A 20296-nucleotide genomic window follows, 5' to 3' on the forward strand; every position below is an offset into this window, starting at 1 on the left:
AGATCCCATTTGTCAATTTTGGCTTTTGTTGCCATTGCTTTTGGTGTTTTAGACATGAAGTCCTTGCCCATGCGTATGTCCTGAATGGTAATGCCTAGGTTTTCTTCTAGGGTTTTTATGGTTTTAGGTCTAATGTTTAAGTCTTTAATCCATCTTGAATTAATTTTTGTATAAGTTGTAAGGAAGGGATCCAGTTTCAGCTTTCTACATATGGCTAGCCAGTTTTCCCAGCACCATTTATTAAATAGGGAATCCTTTCCCCATTGCTTGTTTTTCTCAGGTTTGTCAAAGATCAGATAGTTGTAGATATGTGGCGTTATTTCTGAGGGCTCTGTTCTGTTCCATTCATCTATATCTCTGTTTTGGTAACAGTACCATGCTGTTTTGGTTACTGTAGCCTTGTAGTATAGTTTGAAGTCAGGTAGCATGATGCCTCCAGCTTTGCTCTTTTGGCTTAGGATTGACTTGGTGATGTGGGCTCTTTTTTGGTTCCATATGAACTTTAAAGTAGTTTTCTCCAATTTGGTGAAGAAAGTCATTGGTAGCTTGATGGGGATGGCATTGAATCTATAAATTACCTTGGGCAGTATGGCCATTTTCACAATATTGATTCTTCCTACCCATGAGCATGGAATGTTCTTCCATTTGTTTGTATCCTCTTTTATTTCATTCAGCAGTGGTTTGTAGTTCTCCTTGAAGAGGTCCTTCACGTCCCTTGTAAGTTGGATTCCTAGGTGTTTTATTCTCTTTGAAGCAATTGTGAATGGGAGTTCACTCATGCTTTGGCTCTCTGTTTGTCTGTTATTGGTGTATAAGAATGCTTGTGATTTTTGCACATTGATTTTGTATCCTGAGACTTTGCTGAAGTTGCCTATCAGCTTAAGGAGATTTTGGGCTGAGACGATGGGGTTTTCTAGATATATAATCATGTCATCTACAAACAGGGATAATTTGACTTCCTCTTTTCCTAATTGAATACCCTTTATTTCCTTCTCCTGCCTGACTGCCCTGGCCAGAACTTCCAACAGTATGTTGAATAGGAGTGGTGAGAGAGGGCATCCCTGTCTTGTGCCAGTTTTCAAAGGGAATGCTTCCAGTTGTTGCCCATTCAGTATGATATTGGCTGTGGGTCTGTCATAGATAGCTCTTCTTATTTTGAGATACGTCCCATCAATACCTAATTTATTGAGAGTTTTTAGCATGAAGGGTTGTTGAATTTTGTCAAAGGTCTTTTCTGCATCTATTGAGATAATCATGTGGTTTTTGTCTTTGGCTCTGTTTATATGCTGGATTACATTTATTGATTTGCATATATTGAACCAGCCTTGCATCCCAGGGATGAAGCCCACTTGATCATGGTGGATAAGCTTTTTGATGTGCTGCTGGATTCGGTTTGCCAGTATTTTATTGAGGATTTTTGCATCAATGTTCATCAAGGATATTGGTCTAAAATTCTCTGTTTTGGTTGTGTCTCTGCCAGGCTTTGGTATCAGGATGATGCTGGCCTCATAAAATGAGTTAGGGAGGATTCCCTCTTTTTCTATTGATTGGAATAGTTTCAGAAGGAATGGTACCAGTTCCTACTTGTACCTCTGTTAGAATTCGGCTGTGAATCCATCTGGTCCTGGACTCTTTTTGGTTGGTAAGCTATTGATTATTGCCACAATTTCAGAGCCTGTTATTTGTCTATTCAGAGAGTCAACTTCTTCCTGGTTTAGTCTTGGGAGGGTGTATGTGTCGAGGAATATATCCATTTCTTCTAGATTTTCTAGTTTATTTGAGTAGAGGTGTTTGTAGTATTCTCTGATGGTAGTTTGTATTTCTGTGGGATAGGTGGTGATATCCCCTTTATCATTTTTTATTGCATCTATTTGATTCTTCTCTCTTTTCTTCTTTATTAGTCTTGCTAGCAGTCTATCAATTTTGTTGATCCTTTCAAAAAACCAGCTCCTGGATTCATTAATTTTTTGAAGGGTTTTTTGTGTCTCTATTTCCTTCAGTTCTGCTCTGATTTTAGTTATTTCATGCCTTCTGCTAGCTTTTGAATGTGTTTGCTCTTGCTTTTCTAGTTCTTTTAATTGTGATGTTAGGGTGTCAATTTTGGATCTTTCCTGCTTTCTCTTGTGGGCATTTAGTGCTATAAATTTCCCTCTACACACTGCTTTGAATGTGTCCCAGAGATTCTGGTATGTTGTGTCTTTGTTCTCATTGGTTTCAAAGAACATCTTTATTTCTGCCTTCATTTTGTTATGTACCCAGTAGTCATTTAGGAGCAGGTTGTTCAGTTTCCATGTAGTTGAGCGGTTTTGAGTGAGTTTCTTAATCCTGAGTTCTAGTTTGATTGCACTGTGGTCTGAGAGACAGTTTGTTATAATTTCTGATCTTTTACATTTGCTGAGAAGAGCTTTACTTCCAACTCTGTGGTCAATTTTGGAATAGGTGTGGTGTGGTGCTGAAAAAATGTATATTCTGTTGATTTGGGGTGGAGAGTTCTGTAGATGTCTATTAGGTCCACTTGATGCAGAGCTGAGTTCAATTCCTGGCTATCCTTGTTAACTTTGTGTCTTGTTGATCTGTCTAATGTTGACAGTGGGGTGTTAAAGTCTCCCATTATTATTTTGTGGGAGTCTAAGTCTCTTTGTAGGTCACTCAGGACTTGCTTTATGAATCTGGGTGCTCCTGTATTGGGTGCATATATATTTAGGGTAGTTAGCTCTTCTTGTTGAATTGATCCCTTTACCATTATATAATGGCCTTCTTTGTCCCTTCTGATCTTTGTTGGTTTAAAGTCTGTTTTATCAGAGACTAGGATTGCAACCCCTGCCTTTTTTTGTTTTCCATTTGCTTGGTAGATCTTCCTCCATCCTTTTATTTTGAGCTTATGTGTGTCTCTGCACGTGAGATGGGTTTCCTGAATACAGCACACTGATGGGTCTTGACTCTTTATCCAATTTGCCAGTCTGTGTTTTTTAATTGGAGCATTTAGTCCATTTATATTTAAAGTTAATATTGTTATGTGTGAATTTGATCCTGTCATTATGATGTTAGCTGCTTATTTTGCTCGTTAGTTGATGCAGTTTCTTCCTAGCCTCGATGGTCTTTACAATTTGGCATGATTTTGCAGTGGCTGGTACCAGTTGTTCCTTTCCATGTTTAGTGCTTCCTTCAGGAGCTCTTTTAGGGCAGGCCTGGTGGTGACAAAATCTCTCAGCATTTGCTTGCCTGTAAAGTATTTTATTTCTCCTTCACTTATGAAGCTTAGTTTGGCTGGATATGAAATTCTGGGTTGAAAATTCTTTTCTTTAAGAATGTTGAATATTGGCCCCCACTCTCTTCTGGCTTGTAGAGTTTCTGCTGAGAGATCTGCTATTAGTCTGATGGCCTTCGCTTTGTGGGTAACCTGACCTTTCTCTCTGCCTGCCCTTAACATTTTTTCCTTCATTTCAACTTTGGTGAATCTGACAATCATGTGTCTTGGAGTTGCTCTTCTCGAGGAGTATCTTTGTGGCATTCTCTGTATTTCCTGAATCTGAATGTTGGCCTGCCTTGCTAGATTGGGGAAGTTCTCCTGGATAATATCCTGCAGAGTGTTTTCCAACTTGGTTCCATTCTCTCCGTCACTTTCAGGTACACTAATCAGATGTAGATTTGGTCTTTTCACATAGTCCCATATTTCTTGGAGGCTTTGTTCATTTCTTTTTATTCTTTTTTCTCTAAACTTCCCTTCTCGCTTCATTTCATTCATTTCATCTTCCATCACTGATACCCTTTCTTCCAGTTGATCGCATCAGCTCCTGAGGCCTCTGCATTCTTCACGTAGTTTTTGAGCCTTGAATTTCAGCTCCATCAGCTCCTTTAAGCACTTCTCTGTATTGGTTATTCTAGTTATACATTCGTCTAAATTTTTTTCAAAGTTTTCAACTTCTTTGTCTTTGGTTTGAATTTCCTCCTATAGCTCAGAGTAGTTTGATCGTCTGAAGCCTTCTTCTCTCAACTCGTCAAAGTCATTCTCCATCCAGCTTTGTTCTGTTGCTGGCGAGGAGCTGCGTTCCTTTGGAGGAGGAGAGGTGCTCTGCTTTTTAGAGTTTCCAGTTTTTCTGCTCTGTTTTTTCCCCATCTTTGTGGTTTTATCTACTTTTGGTCTTTGATGATGGTGATGAACAGATGGGTTTTTGGTGTGGATGTCCTTTCTGTTTGTTAGTTTTCCTTCTAACAGACAGGACCCTCAGCTGCAGGTCTGTTGGAGTTTGCTAGAGGTCCACTCCAGACCCTGTTTGCCTGGGTACCAGCAGCAGTGGCTGCAGAACAGCGGATTTTTGTGAACCACGAATCCTGCTGTCTGAACGTTCCTCTGGAAGTTTTGTCTCAGAGGAGTACCTGGCCGTGTGAGGTGTCAGTCTGCCCCTACTGGGGAGTGCCTCCCAGTTAGGCTGCATGGGGGTCAGGGGTCAGGGACCCACTTGAGGAGGCAGTCTGCCCGTTCTCAGGTCTCCAGCTGGGTGCTGGGAGAACCACTGCTCTCTTCAAAGCTGTCAGACAGGGACATTTAAGTCTGCAGAGCTTACTGCTGTCTTTTTGTTTGTCTGTGCCCTGCCCCCAGAGATGGAGCCTACAGAGGCAGGCAGGCCTCCTTGAGCTGTGGTGGGCTCCACCCACTTGGAGCTTCTAGGCTGCTTTGTGTACCTAATCAAGCCTGGGCAATGGCGGGCGCCCCTCCCCCAGCCTCGCTGCCGCCTTGCAGTTTGATCTCAGACTGCTGTGCTAGCAATCAGCGAGACTCCGTGAGCGTAGGACCCTCCCAGCCAGGTGCGGGATATAATCTCCTCGTCTGCCGTTTTTTAAGCCCATCAGAAAAGCGCAGTACTGGGGTGGGAGTGACCCGATTTTCCAGGTGCCGTCTGTCACCCCTTTCTTTGACTAGGAAAGGGAACTCCCTGACCCCTTGGGCTTTCCGAGTGAGGCAATGCCTCACCCTGCTTCGGGTCACGCCTGGTGCACTGCACCCACTGTCCTGCGCCCACTGTCTGGCACTCCCTAATGAGATGAACCGGGTACTCAGATGCAAATGCAGAAATCACCCGTCTTCTGCGTCGCTCACGCTGGGAGCTGTAGACCGGAGCTGTTCCTATTTGGCCATCTTGGCTCCCTCCCTAGTCAGAGTTCTTAACACATAATTTAGTTAAATATGCCAAGATGCTCTCTCAGGATCTAAAACTTAGAGAAACAGATTTTTTTTTTTTTAAAGCAACCATTCTTGGTCTCAAAGACCTCAATCTGGTATGGAAGGGAGACAAGGCAGATCATTCCAGTATAAGACAGTCATTGTTGGGAGACTGCTGTGTACAGGACATAGGACATGAATAGATGATATCATGGCAAGAAAGGGATCTAAGTATAACGTGTCCTTTCAAACTCCAAAAGGCAAATGCTATGAAGTACATCTTCCCCAGAGCACCCCAAAAGGAAAAAAAGGCTTCCATGTGTTTAGATCTTGTGGATCACCCCAGTGGAATTTATTAAGCAAGGAGATGACTTCAGTTAATAAACAAGAGAAGAATTCTTCTTCCCACTGAGAGAATATATCACCCTCCACTTCTAATTCCCTTTCCCTGCCTTTTGGGAAGGGTGGAAGTGGAAGCTTTGACCATGATTGTGTGTCTGTAAGGAGGATATGAGCTGTGTTATTGGCAATTGTAATGTGGAGGTTAACTCAGGATGTACAGTAACTTTGTGCTCATGATCTCCCAGCAGCCTGATGAAGTGAAACGAACAGGAGACATAGAGCCAAGAAAAGTTCTATAGAATAGTATTCTTTTGAGTTCATGCATGTTATCATACTTGTCCAAGGTTTAGTTCTTCATCTTTAAAGCGAGGATCATTGTGTCTACTGCACCAAGGATAAACTAGGATCATGTATGGGAGGCACTTGGCACCTTCTGGGCTCACAACCCTCATTGGTTCCCATGCTCCCTTTTCTCACTTCAGGAAAAATAAAACAACCCTCCCTGCTGCACACCTGTTACTTGCCTCTCGTTGGTTTCCATGCTCCCTTTTCTCACTTCTGGAAAAATAAAACAACCCTCCCTGATGCACACCTGTTACTTGCCTCTCTGTCTCCTAATAGATCATACTCACCACCTAAACTAATGCTAAACTAGTGATGTAAGCCTGCCATTCCACTGATTAAAGAAAAAAAAAAAAAAGAAACAAAAGCCATCTGTCAAATGCTTACCTTACCTTCACCTGTAAAAGGTGTGAACTCTTACTGGAGCACTCAAGGCCTGCCTAGCCTTCTTCTTCAGCTGCTCTCCCATTCTTCCCATAAAAAGCCATAACTTCATCCAAGCCTATTTAGGGCCATACGGGGACACACACGTAGCAGCACTATCACCTAAAATGCTCTTGCTTTTCTTCTACCCCTTAGATCCTACCAATCTCCTCAAAGCCCGCTTATTCAATAGCTGTTCTCTAAAACATTCCCAGGTAGTTTTGGCTTAAAGTGGTAGCAGCCCCTCTGGAAATATGGCAGGTATTATACATGTCATCAACTTAGCAGATTCTCTTCTATAGCTAAATCTTGCTCAGGCCCTTCATGTGGTAAGCTGGCATGGTAGTGAAACACACCCAATAGTCCTATAGGTAACTTAAAAAATAAAATAAAATAAACATAGAACTTGACCCTTCTGGTTTTTGTTTGTGTTTTGTTTTGTTTTAAGACAGAGTCTTGCTCTGTTGCCCAGGCTGGAGTACAGTGGTGCAATCTCTGCTCACTGTAACCTCTGCCTCCTGGGTTCAAGTGATTCTCCTGCCTCAGCCTCATGAGTAACTGGGATTTTACAAGCGTGCACCACCATGCCCAGCTAATTTTTTGTATTTTTAGTAGAGACAGGGTTTCATTATGTTGGCCAGGCTGGTCTCGAACTCCTGACCTCAGGTGATCCACCTGCCTCAGACTCCCAGAGTGCTGGGACTACAGGCGTCAGCCACCGTGCCTGGCCCACCCTTCTGGTCTTAAGTCTTGAAACTTATACTTGTTTTTTGTCTCAGTTCATTCCTCAGGAAAGGACCTTCAGTCTCTCAAAAAAGTATCAAAAAATTAAAACTCACCAGATCACTACACCAGAAGCCAGACCCCTCATTCACAATGATCACTTCCTGCATCTCCCTAGTTCTTGTTTTCTTACACATTGCTACATTTCTTTCCTGCTATAAAAACCCCTGGTTTTAGTCCATCAGAAAGATGGATTTGAGACTGAGCTCCCATCTGCTTGGCTGCAGCACCTGATTAAAGCCTTCTTCCTTGGTAATACTCAGTGGGTGTCGCAGTGATTGGCTTTCTGTGCCTGGAGCAGCAGGACCTTGACCAAACCCCTGGTGTTTTGCTAACAGTAGGTGCCTTAAAGAGCCATGGATTTTCTACATGTGAAAGTCTCTTTGCCCCAAGTTTCTCAAGGGTAGGAACCAGTTATTAAGTGTGTTTATATAATTCAAAGGATATATGAAGTGGTACGGTCTAAAAGGAAGAAAAAAAAGTATGCTCTCGGAAACAGGCTGCACTTGTGTTTTGAGCACACTGGCTATTTTTAATTAAAATGGTTTATACGAGTGAATGAATAAATACATGAATTTTCCCACCTCCAGCTTCTTGGGGATAAAATGTATAGGTCAATCATAAAAGATAAGAATCTATTCCTTACTAATTCCCAGTTCACCACGTTCCCTTCCGGATGAGAGCAGATGGCTTCAGAAGGGAAGCAAAATCCAAGATGGCAATTTAAATCAGTAACACTTTGAAAAGCTGATGTGCTTACCACCCTCGTTAGTTCCCAACACTGTGTAAGGTCACCTGAGCAATGGACTTGAAACACAATTGAAACAGAGGAGATGGTGAATTTCTAGCCTGACTGTTCATACACCTATTCTTTCTTGGCCTCGCTTTGAAATTCTGCAACAATAAGGCTGATGAAGGGATTCTTTCATGCTCCCCAGGCCTCAGGAAACCTACCATAACACCTCCCACATTCTGTGCCATTTCAGTATCCGCCTAAGAAAAGCAAATACACACACACACACACCACACACACACACATGTCCCTAGAGTTCTCTATAACTGTGTGGGCCTTTCATTTCAAAGTCTTCTTGAAAGTGTTATTTGTGAAGCTTAAAATATGTGAGCTTGCAGGGGGAGGAGACAATTACTTGGGAGAAAATAACACACCAGGATAAGCCACATCACATTGTTTCTTCTGGGACACATTTTGTTCTGGGAAAATGTCCTAATAGCCTCTGATTTCAATGTTACTGCATATCACAGCACTGTGCCTGGGAAAACACAATGACATTTTATATGATGATATTGTAGTGAAATAATAGCTCTTCAGCACCATAAGCAGCATATTGACATGCAACATCTATTAGAAAGAATGGACATTGAATATCAAACCCATCAAATAGTTCTGTGTACAGAATTGGTTTCATGGCAGGGGGCATGGGGGTGAGTTTCACAAACCAAGGTATGATACAAATTTTAGAATAATGTCAGTTGCTTTTTTATTCTAAAGTGAAAAAGAGAAGTGCAGCTTGTTAGGGAGACAGTACTACATAACGTACAAGGCACGGGCTTGAGTCTCCAAGACCAGATGTTGGTAGAGGCACCGTGATGTACAGGTTCTACACCTTTGGGCAACTCACTTCTTTGTGCTTCAATTCCCTAATTTTAAAAATACATATATGGGCCAGGCATGGTGCTCATGCCTGTAATCCCAGCACTTTGGGAGGTCAAGGCGGGCGGATCACCTGAGGTTGGGAGTTCGAGACCAGCCTGACCAATATGGAGAAACCCTGTCTCTACTACAAAAATACAAAATTAGCTGGGCGTGGTGGTGCATACCTGTAATCCCAGCTACTCGGGAGGCTGAGGCAGGAGAATTGCTTGAACCCGGGAGGCAGAGATTGCAGTGAGCCGAGATAGTGCCATTGCACTCCAGCCTGGGCAACAAGAGCGAAACTCCGTCTCAAAAAAAAAAAAAAAATATATATATATATAGATAGATAGATAGATAGATAGATAGATAGATAGATACATGAATAGCTACTTTGTATGATTTCTTTTTGGGGTGAAGATTAGAAAAACATATGTACAACTTCTGAAATATACTGAACAACTACTAGTCATTATTGTTGTCATCATGATGATGAACATGATTAACAAATGTGCAGCATTTTACAGAACAGCTGCCACTGCATTCCTTCTTCACCAGCATTAAGTCAACTACCCTCATACATAGGGAGATCAAAAATGTGACGGCCCCTAACACTTTCCCGGCTACCGAAGACATGCTGGTTTTCTCTGAAGTTTACTGGTAAGATAAAGGTAAACGGTGAGAACCACATCAGCTTTCAGGAATTATGTGCCAAGATAGTTCATGAGCTCCTAAAGAAACTCAGTTCTGTACTTTATAGGCAATTTTGTTTTAACTACCAATGCAGTACCCTATAACAAAACTCCAGGCTCCTGGCTAGCCATCAGAAGTTCATATTTGTTCTTTAGTTTGTATATTACTTTGCCGATGCTGCTGTAACAAATTACGACTAACTTATTGACTTAAAACAACACAAAGTTTTATCACACAATCCTTTCAGACTGTGGTCTCCCTGGGCTAATATCAAAGTGTCAGGAGGGCCACATTCCTTCTGGAGACCTGAGGGAGAATCCATTAACAGTTTCTGGATAATCTAGAGAATCTCCCTATTTTAGGGTCAGCTGGTTAGCAAACTTAGTGGCATCAGGTACCCTAATCCCCCTTTGCCTGTAAGAGTGCATATTCACAAATTCCAAGGATTAGGTCATGGGCATTTTTGGGGTGGCCATGATTCTGACTACCATAGTTTGGCTTTAGATCTTTTTCCAATATTTTTCCAAGAACATAAATAACTTCATTAAACCACGTTTTGCCATCAGTGAAAAGGTAATCTAAACATTCATGGAGTACCCAATATGTGTCAGCCATTTTACATTTATGAATTCACTTAGAACTCAGGACAACATCCTTTGGTGTACTATTAAAAGTGCCTGCTTATCCTCCTCTCTCTATTTCCATAATAGGACATATTATCCCTCCTGTATAATATGTCCTATTATGGGCCTTAATTGCATCACATATGAAAGAAAGTTCTATGAGAGAACAGAAAGCAGAGAATAGGCAACTGAGAAGGTCAAAAAATATTTTTGAAAATGTGATATATAACCTTTTATATTTATTAACCAACATATATGTACCATTTATTGTGCTAAATATGTCTTACTTATCCATTGCATTATTTAATTTTTAGCTGGGCATGGTGGCACATACCTGTAGTCTCAGCTACTTGGGAGGCTGAGGCAGGAAGATCACTGGACCCAGGAGTTCAAAGCTGCAGTAATCTATGATTGCACCACTGCACTCCAGCATGGGATACTGTCAGACCCTGTCTCAAAAAAATGATAAAAAATAAATAAATAAAAATAATTTTCACAAAAACTTTATGTGGCTGTATTTTCTATATATTAAAGAGGAAAAAATGATGTTCAGAAGCTGGTGAAATTGTTCAAGGACACATACTAGTACTTGACAGAATTGTTATTTGAGCCCAATGTGCCTGATTTGAAAACACATGTGTTAAAACATGACACAAACTATCTCCAATGTTGTAGGTCAAAGGCCATCTAGTGAGAAACAAGGCTTGAAAATATTTTAATTGACTTTTTTTTTTTTGGAGACAGAATCTAACTCTGTCATCCAGGCTAGAGTACAGTGGTGCGATTTCAGCTCACTGCAACCTCCACCTCCTGAGTTCAAGCGATTCTCCTGCCTTAGCCTCCTGAGTACCTGGGACTACAGGCATGCGCCACTACGCCTGGCTAATTTTTTGTATTTTTAGTAGAGACGGGGTTTCAACATGTTGGCCAGGCTGGTCTCGAACTCTGGACCTCAGGTGATCTGCCCACCTCAGCCTCCCAAAGTACTGGGATTAAAGGCGTGAGCCACTGCGCCCAGCCTTTAATTGACTTTAAAACAATATATTTAATGCACCTCAGAATATGTGCATAGCCTCCAATGATGATTTCTTCAAAGGAGAAAGCATTCATTTGGAAAGGTAAGCCTAGGATGCTTACTTGGGAAAAATAAGGGCCCTTATCCAGCCTAGACATGTACCTAGAAGAGGTATACATTTGGAAAGACTTACTAACTGAACAACTGGGAGAAGGCAGAAGGACAGGTGTCTCAGAAAACAGCATGTGTAAAGGTACAGAGATGTTGGCCTCCACAGACCATGCAAGGAACTGTGACGTTAGTACTAAGGAAACAGAAAATGAAGTAAGATAGATAAGCACAGGACAAAACATCTGATCTTTGCATAAAATGCTAGGATTTGAAAGATTCTGAGGAGACAATTAACCTGACCATATTTGTAGTTGAAAAAAAAAAAATTCTGGCAATTGCAAATTAAGAGGGCTGTGGCTAGACATTGGGCAGGGACCTGTTAGGCTGATGCAAGAGCCTAGAGAAGATATATGAAGATTTACAGCTAAGGTTACTTGGTAGCAATGGAGAGAATGGAACAAATTAAGAAACATTCAGGAAATTTTAGAATCTCTGAGTCAAGCTGGCCTCCTCCTGAGACAGCAGGGCTGCAACCTTTTCCTGAATAAGAGGAACTTCTGTGAGCAGCTTGGTGCCTGTGGAGAAGCACACTGAGGTGACCCCAGAGGTTTCTTTTTTCTCTGAGACTCAATTGCTTTGCTTTGAAGTTCCAAACCTCCTCCGAAGAGACTTTATTTAGAGCCTGTCTGAGCCTTTGCAGCCATCCTCAGCCTTTCTGGAGGAGATTATATATTCCAAATGAAGTCAGTGAGAGTTTTTTTATGTTGGAGCCACAGCAAAAATTTGGGGTAATGTTCTCATTCTCTCACTGGGTTGCACACAAGTCACACTGTGTTTCTTGCTTATTTATCCAGGGAGAAAAACTCCCTGGACTTCCCTGTTATAGGAAGGGTAGGAGAAGGCACATAAGAACCTACCTGAGTACATTTTCACATTTGCTTGCTAATTGCTTGACAGTACTTCAAAAATGGACAAAGATTTACTGGGAACTAAAAGACAAGCTTTACCCTCCTTCAGTTAAATAACAGTGAAGACCTATCACTGAAAACGTTCTCTGAGAATTGACTTATTTAATCATTGCCTAGTTGCACCATATGTATTTGTTGAATAACCTAATGAACAAACATGTTTTGCGTCCTTCTGTAAATCAAGCTTCAGTCTTCTAAAAATCAAGCTTCTATAAATCAAGCTACATGGCTACACTGCACATGTGACCCAACCTCTCCCATCCTCAGTTCTTTCTCCATAGAGCAGGAATAACATGAACTAATGTAGCAAACACAGTATCATGCAGAAATGGCTAACCAGTGATGCACCTAAAACTACAAACTGGGCAGGTCTTTGGAAATTTAGACGATAAATTTTTGATTTAAATATCATTGTATAGGGAGGGTCATGGCATCAATTTTCTGCTCAAACAGTTCATTTCTGTCTAAAAGAAAAATATGCCCCCTTTAGGCACAGAAGACAAAAGCAATTGATTGCAGCACAGCACATTCAAAGAAGAGATGAGGGGCTGAGGGACTTGGCAAATGGGGAAACTTTATCCCCAAGGTAATAAATAGTGTGAATCCTGAAAAAGACAATTTTTAAGATGGTTCCAGAGTGGCTGAAAGCATAAATTCAAAAATAGAGCCAAGCAGCCATTTGCTGACTAGAGGTCACACAAGTACTCTCTGTTCCCAGAAAACCTACATGCTCACATAACTTTGGGACTTTATAGCTATCTGTTCTTGTTCGTGCTGCTTGTATCAATGACTGCTGGAAAATCCCATTTTGCCTCCTGGATCTAACAAATAGACTGTGTGACCAATCAGATTTCAGCAAGCTTAACCAATCAAAACTAAACAAGTTTGCATTCCTCTTTTTCATAGCAGACCAGAGTAGAAAGCAGGGTGGGAACTTTCTCTATAAAAGACAACCTCTGTCTTTGTTTTCTGGGAGTGCATCTTTGTTTCATACCAAAGGCTATACCTTCCTGGTTTGCAAACTGTTTCCTGGCATGATCTCTTTCCTTTTTATTAAAAGAAAATCATTCTCAGTGAATTCGTTAACAACAGTTAGAGACAAACATTTATAATTATTTTTGAAAAGAACAAAAATAACATGGAGCCAGGCACAGTGGATTACATCTATAATCCCAGCACTTTGCGAGGCCAAGGCCAGGAGTTTGAGACCAGCTTGGGCAACATAGCAGCCCCCGTCTCTACAAAAAGAAATTAAAAATTAATCAGCCATGGTGGCAGGTGCCTTTAGTCACAGCTACTCAGGAGGCTAAGGCAGGAGGATCCTTTGAGCCAGAGGCTGCAGTGAGCTATGATTGCACCACCATATGCTAGTCTGGGTGACTGAGTGAGGCCTTGCCTTTAAAAAATAAAATTAAATTAAAAAAAAAACATGGATAGCTGCTTGCATATTTTGACAGTTTTCTATATGGCAACTGCCATGCTAAATTCTTCTCCTAAAATGACCTCATTTTTCATACTCACAACAACATTTAAAGTGATTATTATTTATTTCCCCATTTTGTGGATGAGAAAACTGAAGCTAAGAGAGGTTGAATACTTGTTCAATGTTGCACAGCTAGTATGCTAGTAAGAGTCAAGTTGCTGCTCAGCTGTCCAACTCTAGAGTCCAATGCTCAACCATAGTCTGCACTGTGAAACTTTATGTCATTGGAGTAAGTAAAGTAAGCTAAAAAGATTAAATATTTTCTTCAAATGACCCAAAAAAGTGAAAATAAGTATGCATAGGCTAATTTAGAGTAGGAACAATAAAAATCACATATAAAAGAATCAGGCCATGTGTGGTGGCTCACGCCTGTAATCCCAGCACTTTGGGCGGCTGAGGCGGGTGGATCACTTGAGGTCAAGAGTACGAGACCAGTCTGGCCAACATGGTGAAACCCCGTCTCTACTAAAAATACAAAAATTAGCTGGGTGTGGTGTCCTGTGCCTGTAATCCCAGCTACTCTGGAGGCCGAGGCAAGAGAATCACTTGAACAGGGAAGGCAGAGGTTGTAGTGAGCCGAGATCACACCACTGCACTCCAGCCTGGGAGACAGAGAAAGACTCCATCTAAAAAAAAAAAAAAAAAAAAAAAAAAAGAATCAATAAAACTGAACAAATACCAAAAATGAGGTAGAAAATAATTTTTGTAGCGTTTTCATTTATTCCTTAATGAGGAGCTGTTTGGAAATTGATAACCAGGTATAACCTTGTAATACAATTTGTGTATCTTTGTAGTATGTGACTGTGCAGCACGATCATTTTTTTAAAATAGATACATGAAACCAGATCTGACTGTAGAAGCTTAACAGTTTGAATATTTTGGAGGTGAGTGTATGGACAGTAAAGAAAGGGAATGGGCCATTTCATAGCTTTACATTGCTAAAGACTTTTGGGGGAAGATGACTAAATTTCCTAAGTATTTGCAAGCAGGTTTACCAGGCTACAAAGAGATGAAAAGAGGAAATGGTCCTCTGTTTTGCAGAGCACATTGATGAGTCATTTTGAGAGTTGGAACACTAGATAAGTCTACATTTAAAAAATAAAAAAGAGTGGAACTGAGCTGCAAGCCAGTTCTGAGCTGAAGAGCCTGACATGGCTGGATGCTGATGCTGATGCTGCTGAGGAAATCAGTAGTGGGAAGGAAGGGTTTTCAAGTGGTAAGATGCCAGAAAGACAGGCATCTTGCATATGACACATTAAGGATAGAATAAATGATCTACAGTAAAAGCAACTTTCTTTTTTTTTTTTGAGACAGAGTCTCACTCTGTCACTCAGGCTGGAGTGCAGTGGCGCGATCTTGGCTCACTGCAACCTCCGCCTCCCCAGTTCACGCCATTCTCCTGCCTCAGCCTCCCGAGTAGCTGGGACTACAGGTGCCTGCCACCACGCCTGGCTAATTCTTTGTATTTTCAGTAGAGACGGGGTTTCACTGTTAGCCAGGATGGTCTTGATCTCCTGACCTCATGATCCGCCTGCCTCGGCCTCCCAAAGTGCTGGGATTACAGGCATGAGCCACTACACCCTGCCAGCAACTTTTATTTTCATTCTATTTTAGTATTGTTTACAAGGAATTCTGGCTACTGTATTAATCCTGTAATTGAATTTATATATTCACTTTTGATGGTGCACCTAGTATTTAATTTTACATTGTTCGCACAGCTACTAAATAAAACCCAATCACTGCCCCAAATATTTATTAAGGTCTGTTTTGTACATATAAATGCCTTTAAAAAATTATAGAGCAGGGATTGCATTCCATTTCTGGGTGTGTAAGGGAAGAACAAACAACAGACAAGAGAGTTTAGTCCAAACTGGTCCAACCCACAGCTGTGGACCGCATGTGGCCCAGGGCTGCTTTGAATGCAGCCCAATACAACTTCATAAAGTTTCTCAAAACATTATGAGATTTACGCATGGACCTTTCTTTTAGCTCATCAGCTATCATCAGTGTTAGTCTGTTTATTATTATTATTATTATTATTATTATACTTTAAGTTCTGGGATACATGTGCAAAACGTGCAGGTTTGTTACATAGGTATACATGTGCCTTGGTGGTTTGCTGTATCCATCAACCCAACATCTACATTAGGTATTTCTTCTAATGCTATCCCTCCTCTAGCCCCCGACCCCCTGACAGGCCCCCATGTGTGATGTTCCCCTCCCTGTGTCCATGTGTTCTCATTGTTCAACTCCCACTTATGAGTGAGAACATGCGGTGTTTGGTTTTCTGTTCCTGTGTTAGTCTGCTTTATGTTATGCCCAAGACAGTACTTCTTCTTCCAATGTAGCCCACGGAAGCCAAAAGATTGGATATTACTGCATCAGTGCAAGCAAAAACCTAGTCAATTTTATATTAATCTCAAAGGGCAAAGGATGGAAGCTTAGATATGCCCTCCATTCATTATAATTAAAATAACTAAATTATATGACAAAACTTTATAAGCACCAAGCAATCCCTTTGTCATATTCTTAAAGGCCTAAGCAGAAGGAAACTTCTAGAAATTATTTTAGGCAGATATCTGGAAGGGAACTTACTTAGGACAGTGAATAAGAAAAGCATTTTGAAGTCAGACAGTTGAGGATTGGGAGCTGAGCTCTTCCGCTGGGTAGCCGTGTAACCTGGGGCATGTTATGGAGTTTCTCTAAATGTCAGTTCCTCATTGGGAAAATTAGATTAACAGTACTTCTCTTCCAAGGTGGTCGTGAGTTAAATGACACAGGGATGTGAATTGCTGATTTTAGAAACAAATATATTAAAGGTACTCACCCTAGAGAAGGACAGGAGGGGAAAGTCTAAGAAAAAGATTTGGAAAAAACGGAACGGAACAGAATGTACTCCAAGCTAATTGGTGTGCCCAAGTAACCAACATCCAAAAGGGCTCAAAGGACCTTATGCATGAGTGTTTTGCCCATTCTAAAACATTTTTTTTATTTTTTAGATGGAGTCTCGCTCTGTCACCCAGCCTGGAGTGCAGTGGCACAATCTTGGCTCACTGCAGCCTCCACCTCCTGGGTTCAAGCGATTCTTCTGCCTCAGCCTGCTGAGTAGCTGGGGTTACAGGCACCCGCCACTACGCTCAGCTAATTTTTTGTAAAAGACTGCTTTTTTAAACATTGCTCTTTTACCAACAATACTGAGCTAGACCATCAATTCTTTGAGCTCTAAAGTCATATCTGCTGTTTACCATGAAATATATAACCAGAGTTATTAACTGCCTAGGGAGTATGATTTTCAATTGAATAAAGCTAAAAAACAAATATCTTCAATGGACAATGGTGGCTGATTTTAAAGTCTCTTCCTGAAACTCTAAAAGACCTGAATAGAAAACAATAACAACAACAACAGCAACAGCAAAACATGTATAAGGCGTTTAGAACACCATCAGCCTTACAGAAAAGAAAAAAATATGACGATGGGTTTTGTGGAGGAATTGCCCTTCTTTGTAGAGGACAATGAATGAAAAGACTTTGGGCAGATCAGATAACCTGAGCCAAAGGGAGCGGAACAATACAGCAGTGTGAGGGTTCATTAATGAGCCTGTGGTCTCATTGGCACAGCATCACACATCATAGGGGATATCATGGGTCATGAAATACAGGCACTTGCAGTTCCCACTGGGGTTGCATTTTTCTTGAATTATTTACCACCAGAATTTCCTGACAGTGGGAAAAGACCAGTAGTGTGTGTTTTGTATGGGGGTAGGGGTCCTTGAATTGTAATTAATCTGTCTCTAGGAGATCAATGTATCTGACAGAGCCAGGGTCCATAAATTAGTACAATCAGTGTCTTTATGGCATCATGCAAGTTTCATGGCATGAGAAACCACATTTCCAGAAAGAGCAGTGAGTGGAAAACACTTTGGAATACATTGCCTCTGATTCCTGTAAGGTGACATTTTCTTCAGGCTACATTAGGTCTAATCATTAGGGTGAATACTACCCATTGGGAAAATGCATGTCAGAATCTTAAAGTAGGCAGAAATGTGATGGTTTTTCAACAAAAAGTATGTTCTGTCTCCAAAAACCATACATAGAGAGAACAGTTACGTAAGAAATAATTACAATTTGACTGTATAAGCTCAGTACAATGAGACCTTTCCTAAGGTTCTCTGTCACCTTTGGGATGAGGCCAAACCTCTCAGCAAATGAGGAATGCAGGCCCCTCAGTAAGCTGCCTTCTGCCACCTTTTCTAGCTCAACACTCAGGTTCCCGATTTAGATCTTATGCCCTGGGTTGTGCTGAACTATTTGTATTTCCCAAAACATACCATGTTTTACATTTGGCGCTGCTTCTCTTCCTGTCTTCTCTGCCGGGAATTTTTTTTTTTTTTTTTTTTTTGAGATGGAGTCTTGCTCTGTCATCCAGGCTGGAGTGCAGTGGCGTGATCTCGGCTCTTTGCAAGCTCCGCTTCCCGGGTTCACACCATTCTCCTGCCTCAGCCTCCTGAGTAGCTGGGATTACAGGTACATGCCACCACCCCCCTGCCGGGAATTCTTTCTTCTCTTTCTGTCTGGCAAAGCTCCATCCTTAATGATTCAGTCAGAATATCACCTCCTCTGCACAGTTGCTTACTCCCTCCTATGTGCCACTAGTTTTCTCTTAACTTGCCGTTCTTTTAATCCCCCAGTTCTCAGCACTGCCGCTGTGACTAGGCCATGAGCTCCTTTAAGGCAAAGATAATGTCCTGTTCCTCCCTTTTCTCCAAAGCCAGCCAGAGGGACAAGAACATAGCAGGTGCTCTGACAAAGTGATTTTGATGAAGACAGAGGATGCCATAAATCCCAGCAACTCTCAAAATAACACATATTGTATGAAACGGATATGAATTCCAGAGTAGAAGTAAAAACATAAGGATGATTTTGCCATAAGACAAAATGGCATAAGGCACCATAGAACGGTAATCTTGTCCTATAAGGTTTGAATGGGCCACTATAATTGAGTCACGTGTAAGATATTATATGTAAAGCCAGTTATATGTTGATGAGTAACTTGTTCCTTCTACCTGAAATTTTCTTATTTTTCATGTCCAAATTTCATCCTTAAGTGAAGGCCCAGTTCATTCACCAGCTCTCCGACAGGGTTTTCAATGTTAGCTTCAGGGGTACTTCATTCCATCTTTCTCTGAGTTTATATGGTGCTTTAATTACTTTTCTCTTGTGATATTTATAAGTCTCTCTCTCTTACATTGTGATCTATATATAATTTATTATGAAATTTATGTAAATTATTAAGGCTCATATCTCCCATGAAATTAGAATATACTTCAGGTCTGTTCTAGTTATCAATTGTTGTGTAACAAATAATCTAAAAATAGTTATTTAAAATACAACAACCATTTATCTCTCATGATTTCTAGGGGTCAGAAATTTGAGAATCATCTAGTTGGGCAATTCTGGCTTGGAGTTTCTTCTGTAGTCATAGATGGTTCAGTCTTGGGCATATCTGCATAGATCTGCAGTCTTCTGCAGTCGGCAGATAGTGACTAGAGCCGGAACAGTGGAAGGCAGCTAAGGGCTGACTGGACATCTCTCTTCTCCATGTGTTTGCTCCGCGTGAGTTAGTTTGGGCTTCCGCACAAGATGGCAACCTCAAACTTCTCAAATGGCAGCTCAAGGCCCTCAAAGCAAGTATCCCAAGAAAACCAGAAGTTGCATTACCTTTTATGACCTGGCCTCAGAAGTCAGGGTTGCTGTACAGTCAAGTCAGTTACAAAAGCCTGACCAAGTTCAAGAGGAGAGGGCATAGACTTCATAAAAAGTTCTGGAAGAGCATGTGGGACAGGAAATATTTCTGCTATTGTTTTTGGAATATGGATTTTGTCTTGCGTGTGTTTTTTATCTTTACTCCCAGCATTGGTTCTATGTGCTTGGCCTTGAGCTCAGTAAATATTTTTTGAATGGATAAATTAATGACTGCCGAGTTATAGTAACAACATTGTCTGGTACTAATATTCGAACCACCATACTTCCCTTGATATGGTTTGACTGTGTCCCCACCCAGATTTCATCTTAATTGTAGCTCCCATAATTCCCACATGTCGGGGGAAGGACCCTGGTGGGGGGTAGTTGAAACATGGGGATGGGTCTTTCCCAGGCTGTTCTCATGATAGTGAGTAAGTCTCACAAGATCTGATGGTATTATAAAGGGGAGTTCTCCTATACACACTCTCTAGCCTACCTCCATGTAAGACATGACTTGGCTCTTCCTTTGCCTTCCACCATGATGGTAGGGTCTCCCCAGCCATGTGAAACTGTGAGTCAATTAAACCTCTTTCCTTTATAAACTACCAGCATTGGGTATGTCTTTATTAGCAGCATGAGAACAGACTAATACATTCCTTATCCAGTCCTCAGCTACCGTCAGCTTTTTGTCCAAAAGAGGAATGAACAGAAGATACATTTTTTCTTGACACTAATTATTAGGAAGAATTGAATACATACTATTACTCCTCCCAAACAAATTCAAAGTCAGGACAAGAAAATGTTACCTTTAATTATTCTTGTAATTATTTGAGTAGCCATTCAAAGTATCAGAATATTTTTCCTCTGACTTTTCAAAAAAAAGTATTTTAATTTATGGATCTAGTATCTATCCACTTGAGAGAAGTTTCTAGGCTTTTTAGCAATATTTTATCTAATGT

At 41.0% G+C, this 20296-nt stretch overlaps 1 annotated feature.

The window, feature by feature from the left end:
* Positions 11460-12011: an enhancer, noted in NCBI's record as "OCT4-NANOG hESC enhancer chr2:14654042-14654593 (GRCh37/hg19 assembly coordinates)". NCBI's record gives its function as "activates a minimal SCP1, AML or CMV promoter by ChIP-STARR-seq in naive H9 embryonic stem cells {active_cell/tissue: H9 hESC(naive)}" and the evidence as "EXISTENCE:reporter gene assay evidence [ECO:0000049][PMID:30033119]".

The sequence above is a fragment of the Homo sapiens genome, chromosome 2 (genome assembly GCF_000001405.40).
Source record: "Homo sapiens chromosome 2, GRCh38.p14 Primary Assembly".
Lineage (NCBI taxonomy): Eukaryota > Metazoa > Chordata > Mammalia > Primates > Hominidae > Homo > Homo sapiens.